Source organism: Homo sapiens, chromosome 6 (genome assembly GCF_000001405.40).
Source record: "Homo sapiens chromosome 6, GRCh38.p14 Primary Assembly".
Classification (NCBI taxonomy): domain Eukaryota; kingdom Metazoa; phylum Chordata; class Mammalia; order Primates; family Hominidae; genus Homo; species Homo sapiens.
The window spans coordinates 156,378,274-156,386,969 of NC_000006.12; the positions used below are offsets into that span (position 1 = coordinate 156,378,274).

Here is an 8,696-nt window from a genome sequence, read left to right on the forward strand (position 1 = left end):
CTAGGTTGCAGGAGCTGTACGCTTTTGCTAAAGAGTCACATGAATATGAATGCTAAGTCACACCACACCAAAAAAAAGTTACAAGAAAAACCTTAAGTGATCACCATCACAACACTTATAAGGAATTCTACAGGTGTCTTTCATTAACTAACCCATCTCAGGGGCTTACTATCATATCACTCCAATTTGGAAATATTTGGAAAACTGAGACAATAAAATGTGTATTTGTTAACTTGTGTGTTTTTTCTTCTCAACATCTACTCAAGGCAGGGAAAGATTTTAGAGACACTAGAAGAATAAATGAGCAAAATATTCTTTGAATTGTCCCCTTCAAATTAAAACTAAATTAAAATTAAAACAAATTAAAATTAAAACTCTGTTGACCTTTTGGCAAATTCTTAATTGTTTTTAGAGTTGACAACCCTGACAAGGGCTTCTGTATCAAGAAGTCACAGAGTCAATTAAAGAGGAATCTCTTCAGATGATTTGAATTGATAAGCTGAGGTTCTGTGAGGAATGACAGTTAAGAGCATGTTAAAGTTGTTATGAAAAAAGAGAAGAATCTCTGAGTCTTCGTTCGATGCCAGATGCAGAACTGAAGACCTTCTGAGGAAACAAAGGAGCCTGGTTCTCACCTTGATGAAATGCCAGCACAGAAGCACACCCAGTGTGATCCCCTGATGGCCAGGAGCAGTTCTCAACTCCAACACTCTTGAAATTTGGGGCCAGATAATTCTTAGGCTGGGGGAGGGGGCACTGACTGTCTTGTGCATAGTAGGATGTGGGATGTTTGGCACCTTACTACACGCCCACTATGTGTCAGTAGTACTCTACCCAGTTGTGAAAAGTAAAAATGTCAATGTCCCCTGGAGGTAGGGAGAACAACAACCCCAGTTGAGAACCACTGGCCCAAAGCTAGGGCCAAAGCCTTTTATAAAAACTGGATTTGAAATCTGCTCAAGTACTCTGACAGATTTTGGATTGCAATCCCCAGATTTCTGAGCCAAAGAAGGAAAGAAAATATTTTGGTCTGAAATGTTTAAGGTTAAGGCTTACTGCCTGGGTACCTCAATGATTTTTAAATCCCAATATGACCCCAGGATAATTTCAGATTGTCAATGGCTCTAAATTCTGATGAGCCCACCAGGCTGTTAGCTGCCATAGGTACCCGCAAGAACCACAAAAATAGTCTCTAACATGAATAGAGCTTCACATTCTACCCAGAATTTTTACATTTGTCATCTTATTTAAGTCTGCATGAGTTATTCATTTAGAATTTCCCAGTTAGGACAAAGTCTAGCTTATCTCTGAGGAATCTTGGCCAGCCACGATAATTTTAGCTTTCACATAGTAGATACTTTCTGATGATAATCAGGAAAAGAGCTCATTCGTGTTTTATGGCCATTCCGGTAGGTGATACTAAGATTATGCCATCAACATGGAAGTGGATGAATATCTCCCTAGTTGCTATGACAGGCAGAGAAACATCCAAATTATCTAATTGTCACACGGTTACTCAAATACACATTTAATAGAAGAATGGCATTGTTTCACACCACTTAGACTGGATTTTGATCTGACAAAAGACATTTCTTTCCCCCTTAGATTTTGATAATAGTATTGCAAGTTGGACTTTGAGAAACACTAATAGCCTGAGTTACGTGATGAAGTGTCAGAGACTGGCCCATAAAAAAAAAAAAATTCTGCCTACATATTAAAGACCAGCAAAACAAAAATAAGCATTGAGAAAAGTTCCGTGTTGTTCTCATTTTATCAGCAGCCTGAGAATACAGCAATGATCAGTGTTAAACTAGTTTTGCATAAAATCTAAACTGTTTTAGGATTAGGTTAAACTCAAGGCTACAATTTACATAAATGTCCCACAGAGTGCTGACTCTGTAATTTATGTGCAATTGAGATTCTCCCCATCCAATCCTGAGAGAAAAATACCTGAAGAGTTAATTTAGCAAAGATTGAGGCCCATGCCTCAGGGGAGGCTCTAAACTCTGTGGGACAGAAAGAAAGAACCTCCTGGGACACTTTTAAGGTGAAAGAAGGGCTTTTAACATGCAGCTGGTTTACTGCATTCCAGATAATAAGAGGCCAGAAATATGTAACACACAGCAGGACTCCTGTAGAGAAGTCCAGTATAATTAGTCATCTGATCGTCAACAAAGATTTAGGCTCCTGCAATTACAGAATCCATTGCTTGGGTGGTAATGTCCCCAAATCTGCATTTGGTATTGTTTCTGACAAGCAAACTCAAAGACTCCCTCCCAAATCTATTATAACCTGATTTTTGAAAAGGATAAGTTGCTTATAAAAACATTTGAACTTAATAAGTTTACATATGACTCATCTGGGTTCCGACTGCAGTATTATCTTGATAGCACCGCCAGGCTGCATGGTTTACGGGCAAGCTTTATCCAGCAGGGAGACAGATGGGCCCATTCACTGCCCAGAAATGGAGTCTTCCAGGCCAGTGGTTCTGAAGGTGGCTCTGAGCACATGCTAACTCTATCAGAAGCATCTGAGTACCTGCTGAAAATGCAGATTCCAGGCTCCCACCCCAGACCTACTGAACTTGAATTTTGGGGAGAGAAGTCCCTGGAATCTGGATTTTAACAACCATCTAAATGTGATTCTTTTTTTTTTTTTTTTTTTTTTTTTGAGACGGAGTCTTGCTCTGTTGCCCAGGCTGGAGTGCAGTGGTGCGATCTTGGCTCACTGCAAGTTCCACCTCCCGGGTTCAGGCCATTCTCCTGCCTCAGCCTCCTGTGTAGCTGGGACTACAGGTGCCTGCCACCACGCCCGGCTAATTTTTTGTATTTTTAGTAGAGACGGGGTTTCACCGTGTTAGCCAGGATGGTCTTGATCTCCTGACCTCATGATCCGCCCACCTCGGCTTCCCAAAGTGCTGGGATTACAGATGTGAGCCACTGCACCCGGCCCTAAAAGTGATTCTTGAGAGCACTAGAGTCAGACTAGAGTCTGACTCTCCAAAGAGTGAGATGAAATTCGAAGAAAACAGGTCCCATCTTAATGTCCTTGTGTGCATAGCGTCAGCTCTTTGGTTGCATGTTTGGTCAATCATGGTGACTTCATAACAGATTTGGTTTAAGAGGTGAGTGCTTAATTTAAAACCCAGATGTCTACAGCCCCTTCCTGGTTCCCACACTCTACCACAACTCACCTTACCTTACACCTTATTTGAGGCACACCCAGTGTGATCCCCTTCAAATCCATGCACATGTACACACACACATACACACTTATAAAAGGCAATAAAAATGCGTACCTGGCACCCTTCTCTGATAGACCTGTGCTGTGACTCCTCTAGAGATGTTGGTCTGACCCTTTGAATAGATGTTGCATTTGCTAGAGAAAACCTGGCTCCTTGCCTCTTCTCCCCACTTTCCGGTTGTAATAATTATTTCCTTGTTGAAAGAGGCTCTCCATTCCCCCATGAAAGGCTTACAGAAAATACTCACCGTAAGTATTTGAATTAGTCCTGCCCTTATACATGAACTTATATATTCTGATAAATAAGTAGCAGCTTATCTTTTATCCTTCTTATTGACCATCCTACAATCTACAGGTACTGTCATCAAATAGCAAGAACTATAATAAAAAGTAGGAAAAACCTTTGTGAAAAGAAAACGTGCACAAGGAATGAAAAGAGCTTAACGTCTGCTTATTACTCAATCTTTACATCATATCAATGTAACATAATGTCATTTGATTAAAGGACAACACATTTTTTCTAGAAAAAGAGTAAGACTTTAGAAATGTCTACTTAAAACAGTGATTTTAAATCAGATCTTTTTTGAGAAAGAAATGCAGTGTATCAAAATCTCACTAATTTCAGCCAGTTGGCAAACCATTAAGTGTCCACTTTCTATCATACAAATTGAACACTATCTCTGACTTCCAGGGGACTCCCAAACTAAGATTGTGTTGTAGATTATCAGAGTCTTCCATGAGCCTTACAAGGTTAAAAAATAGAACACCAACATATTCCACAGCTTCTTAGTACATGAACATGGCTATGAGATAGAGCAGGGCAGAGCTCCCTATGGATCTATGGATGTGTGCAAGGGCAGAACCCACAGTGCAAGGCAGTCTGTCCCTGGGAGTCCTCTGCCACACCCAGCACAGCTGACAACTGCCACAGAATGATACAAGACCCTCACCTTACAAAATTCTATTTGTAAAAGGAGGACTGTCAAATTCATTTGGAAAACACAATCACCTACAGATTCATGAAAACATTTGCTCTATCAAGACTCTGAAAATTCATACAGTAAAGACAAGGCTAACCTTGTTTGAGGTGGCATTCCTCCAACTTATTTGATCCTGGAACTTTTTTCTAATCACGCCTATTCCCCTCCCATGGACCCACAGTTCTGCAGGGCACAATTTTAGGCAATTCCATCAGCCCTAGGAGTGTCTGAGGTCCATGGCGGCTACACAGAATGCTATCGCCACTGCATGCTGCCAGAAAGTCTGGGCTCCCTCAGCCAACAAGAGCTGTAATTGAGTCTCCAGACCACGGGGAGCTTTTCTGGGTGGTGAGGGGAGACTTGGAGAAGTGTCAGGTTGGCTTCCAAGGTGATAGAGTTTGGATGTGTGTCCTCACCCAAATCTCATGTTGAACTGTAATCCCCAGTGCTGGAGGTGGGGCCTGGTAGGTGTTTGGGTCATGGAGGTGGATCCCTCATGGCTTAGTCCTGTCTTCAAGACAGTCAGTAAGTGAGTGAGTGAGTTCGTGTGAGATCTGGTCCTTTAAAAGTGTATGGTACCTCCCCCCGCCACTCTCTCTTGTTCCTGCTCTGGCCATGTGATGTGTCTTCTCCCACTTCACCTTCTGCCATGAGTAAAAGCTCCCTGACACCTCCCCAGAAACAAATGCTGGCACTATGCTTCCTGTACAACCTGCAGAACTGTGAGCCAATTAAACCTCTTTCATAAATTACCCGGTCTCAGGTATTTCTTTACAGCAATGCAAGAATGACCTAATACACAAGGTATTCCAAATCCAGCTAGGTAGCACAGGTAGAGAGGAAGAAAGGTAGACATAAGTAACAATATAAAACAATATAATAAGAATGCATGGATGCTGTGGACATATTTCTCAGAGGAAGAGAGGCAAGTGAATTTACAGTGGACTCCAGTGTCCACAGAAAGCCACAGAAAGTGGGTGGGGCTGGTACTGCACTGAACCAATGAGTAGGGCAGAGAATGATATCAAGCAACAAGCATATTCTAGGATTTACTAAATGGAAGGCTTGTGGGGTTAGAGGAAAAGGGAAGAGAAAATTTGAATGCTGAGCTTTTGAACACAGAAAGTGGGGGCATGCTGAGTGTCCCACCAGAATTAATAAAGCCAGAGCAGAAGCATCAAGTACAGTAGGCCCTCGGTACCCACGGGGGATTGGTCCCAGAATCCCTCTCTGATACCAAAGTCATAGGATGCTCCAATCCCTTATAAAAAGTGGCATAGCATTTGCATATAACCTATGCACATCCTCCTGTATACTTGAAATCACCTCTAGATTACTTGTGATACCTAATACAGTGCCTACACATCACTTCATTCATGCGGAGTCAAACACAGTATGCAGCACATGGCAAATTCAAGTTTTGCTTTTTGGAATTTTGTGGATTTTTTTCCTGAATATTTTTAACCCATGGTTTGTTGAATCCATGGGTGCAGAACTCATGCCAGCTGTACTGTCTTGGTGGTGCTTTGATGAATTGGAGAAAAAAGCAGTACAACTGTAGTGAATATCTGCTGTTTTTGTCCATCAGGATCCATTCACCCATCTTTTCATAAAACAATGTCCAGATTTTAAAGCTATGCCATGTAGGGGAATTAATTCACCTCTAAAGCTACTGGCAGAAGTTCTCTCTCTCCACTCATGGCAGGGCAGAAAAAGCAGCAGCATGAGTACTTTCAGCTTCTGGCCATCAGTCCAATCCCAACAAACATAGAAGAAACAGATGAGAAAACCCAGGGCCTTGGATATATCATGGGAGCACCTGGGTCAACCGTACCTGAAGCTGTTTATTCTGGATATTTCAGCTAATGAACTCCTTTATCATTTCAAGCGGTTTAATCTGTGGGGTTTTTATAATTGCAAACACACACAAACACAATTGACAGAATATCCAAATGTTATAAACTGATAGGCTGGCCTGAGAGTAAGAGTTTGGGAAATCAGCTCAAAAAGGTGACAGATGAAACCACAGAAGCAAAGAGGTCCAGGGAGAAAGGACAGAGAGAAAATGAGAGAACCAAGGCTGAGATCATAGGAATCATCACAGGTGGGCAAAACTTGAGGAGCAGGTGAGCCAAAAAGAAAACGGACAGGCAGGTGACATGATTTGGATGTTTCTCCCCTCCAAACTTCATGCTGAAATATGATTCCGAATGTTGAAGGTGGGGCCTGATGGGAGGTGACTGAATTATGGGGGAAATTCCTCAGGAATGGTTTAGCACCCTCCCCTTGATGACAAGTGAGTTCTCACTCAGTTCACAGGAGATCTGGTTGTTGAAGAGAGTCTGAGACATCCTCCCTCTCTCTCTCTTGCTCCAGCTCTCACCATGTGACACACTAGCTACCCCTCACCTTCCGCCATGATTGTAAGTTTCCTGTGGCCTCACCAGAAGCAGATGCCAGCACCATACTTCCTGTACAGCCAGAAGAACCATGAGCCAATTAAACCTCTTTTCTTTATAAATTACCCAGTTTTAGGTATTCCTTTATAGCAATGCAAGATGTACTAACATGGAAAATAAGAGGAAGCCCAGAAAGTAAAGTATCAAAATCCCCAGGACATAGGTAAAGAGAAGAGTCAAGCTTTCTAATTTTTCAAACACTATTATCTGTTGTTCACTTGTTCCATGCCAGACGGTGTTCTGGCCACCGTATATTCAAGAAATCCTTCAATCCTCTCACTCTTACTATGAGGTGGATATTATCATTGTCATTGTATAGATGAGGAAGCTGAAGCACAGCAGTTAATGAACTTGCCTATAGTCACCCAGCTAGTAAATGGCAGAACTAGAATTTGGCTCTGGTATTCTGCCTCTAGAATTCACTTTGCTAACCAGTAAACTCTACACTTCTCAACCCTCTGCATCTTTCTGGAACTGCTGCTAAGCATGCAAGTAAGGATTCATTTAACCAAAAATTTATCTTCTACATTCAGTCTGACTTGGATATCAGACTGAACGTCCAATGTAGACGTACACACATTGTATATTATTCTCTTTTTATGGTACTCTGTTAAGATGAAAATAGACTAGGGGCAGATAGCTTATTTAGTCATTCACATTTTAGCATGAATTAGTTTGATTTAAAATTGTTTCCTTATACCAATGGAGGAACCTGGGCTCATATAGAAGTGTATGAGATGCTATACTCGGAATAGCTCAGAGAAGAGAGGATTAAGAACAAACTTTTCCCCTTCACAAATCTCTTGTGAATCAAGACATTCTTTTCTCTTATCCAGTTTCTATTACCTGAAGTATACGACTGCATGCTTCACTGGGCACAGGTTAAGAGATCAGCATAAAGGTCAGCCTTTCTCTCCATGAGCCCAACCCCACAAGGCACTTATAGAAGGACAATCTTTGGTGTTTATTATAAATGCACATCTGTCTCACCTGGGATGAAGCGTTCTAGTAACATCAAAAATTAGTATGGCTATTATGGAAAATGGCATGGAAGTTTCTTAGAAAACTAAAAATAGAATTACCATGTGATCCTGCAATCCCACTTCTGGTTATATATCAAAAGGAATATGTACCCTTTGGTATGTCAAAGAGCTACCTGCACTCCTGTGTTCATTGCAACACTATTGACAATAGCCAAGTTAGGAATCAAACTAAAGTGTCTATCAACAGATAAATGGAAAAAGAAAATATGGTATACACACACAATGGAATACTATTCAGCCTTTAAAAAGAACAAAGTTCTATCGTTGGCAACAACATGGATAGAATTAGAGATCATTACGCTGCATGAAATAAGCCAGGTACAGAAAGACAAATATCTCATGTTTTCACTCAAATGTAGAATCTAAAACAATTGAATTCATAGAATCAGAGAGCAGAATGGTGGTTACAGAGACTGGGGGCTGGGGAATGTGGAGATGAAGGTCAAAGGGTACAAAGTCTCAGCTATGGGGGTATGGATTTTTTCTTTTTTGAGTCTACTGCAATGCATGGTGCATTTACTTAATCATAGAGTATTGTACATTTCAAAACTGCTAGGACAGTACATTTCAAATGTTCTCACCACAAAAACTTTCCAGTTTTTGAGGTGATGGATATGTTAAATAGCTTTATTTAACTATTCCACATTGTATGCATAAATTATAATATCACTTTGTACCTCACAAATTTATACAATTATAAATTGTCAATTTATAATAAATAAAGTTTATAAAATGAAGGAAAAAAATAAAAAATAAAAACTTCATGGGGTCGACTTTCCAAGTAAAATACCAATGGTAGAAAATATGCAGGAAAATAAATACTAATTGATTTTACTAATTTAAAAACCGTAAGATGTCAACACAGACTATGAACTAAGTTAGCTAAGTTTGTTTGTTTTGGGGATTTTTTGTTTTTTTTTTTGTTTTTTTTTTTGTTTTTTTTTTGAGACAGAGTCTTGCTCTGTCACCAG

General features: G+C 40.5%; 1 non-coding gene across 1 annotated transcript; it reads left to right on the forward strand.

Moving 5' to 3' along the window:
• Window positions 1-476: 476 nt before the first annotated feature.
• SNORD28B (small nucleolar RNA, C/D box 28B) lies at window positions 477-551 on the forward strand. Its single transcript, NR_145751.1, has one exon. It is a non-coding gene; the product is annotated as a small nucleolar RNA, C/D box 28B (small nucleolar RNA).
• Window positions 552-8,696: the final 8,145 nt, after the last annotated feature.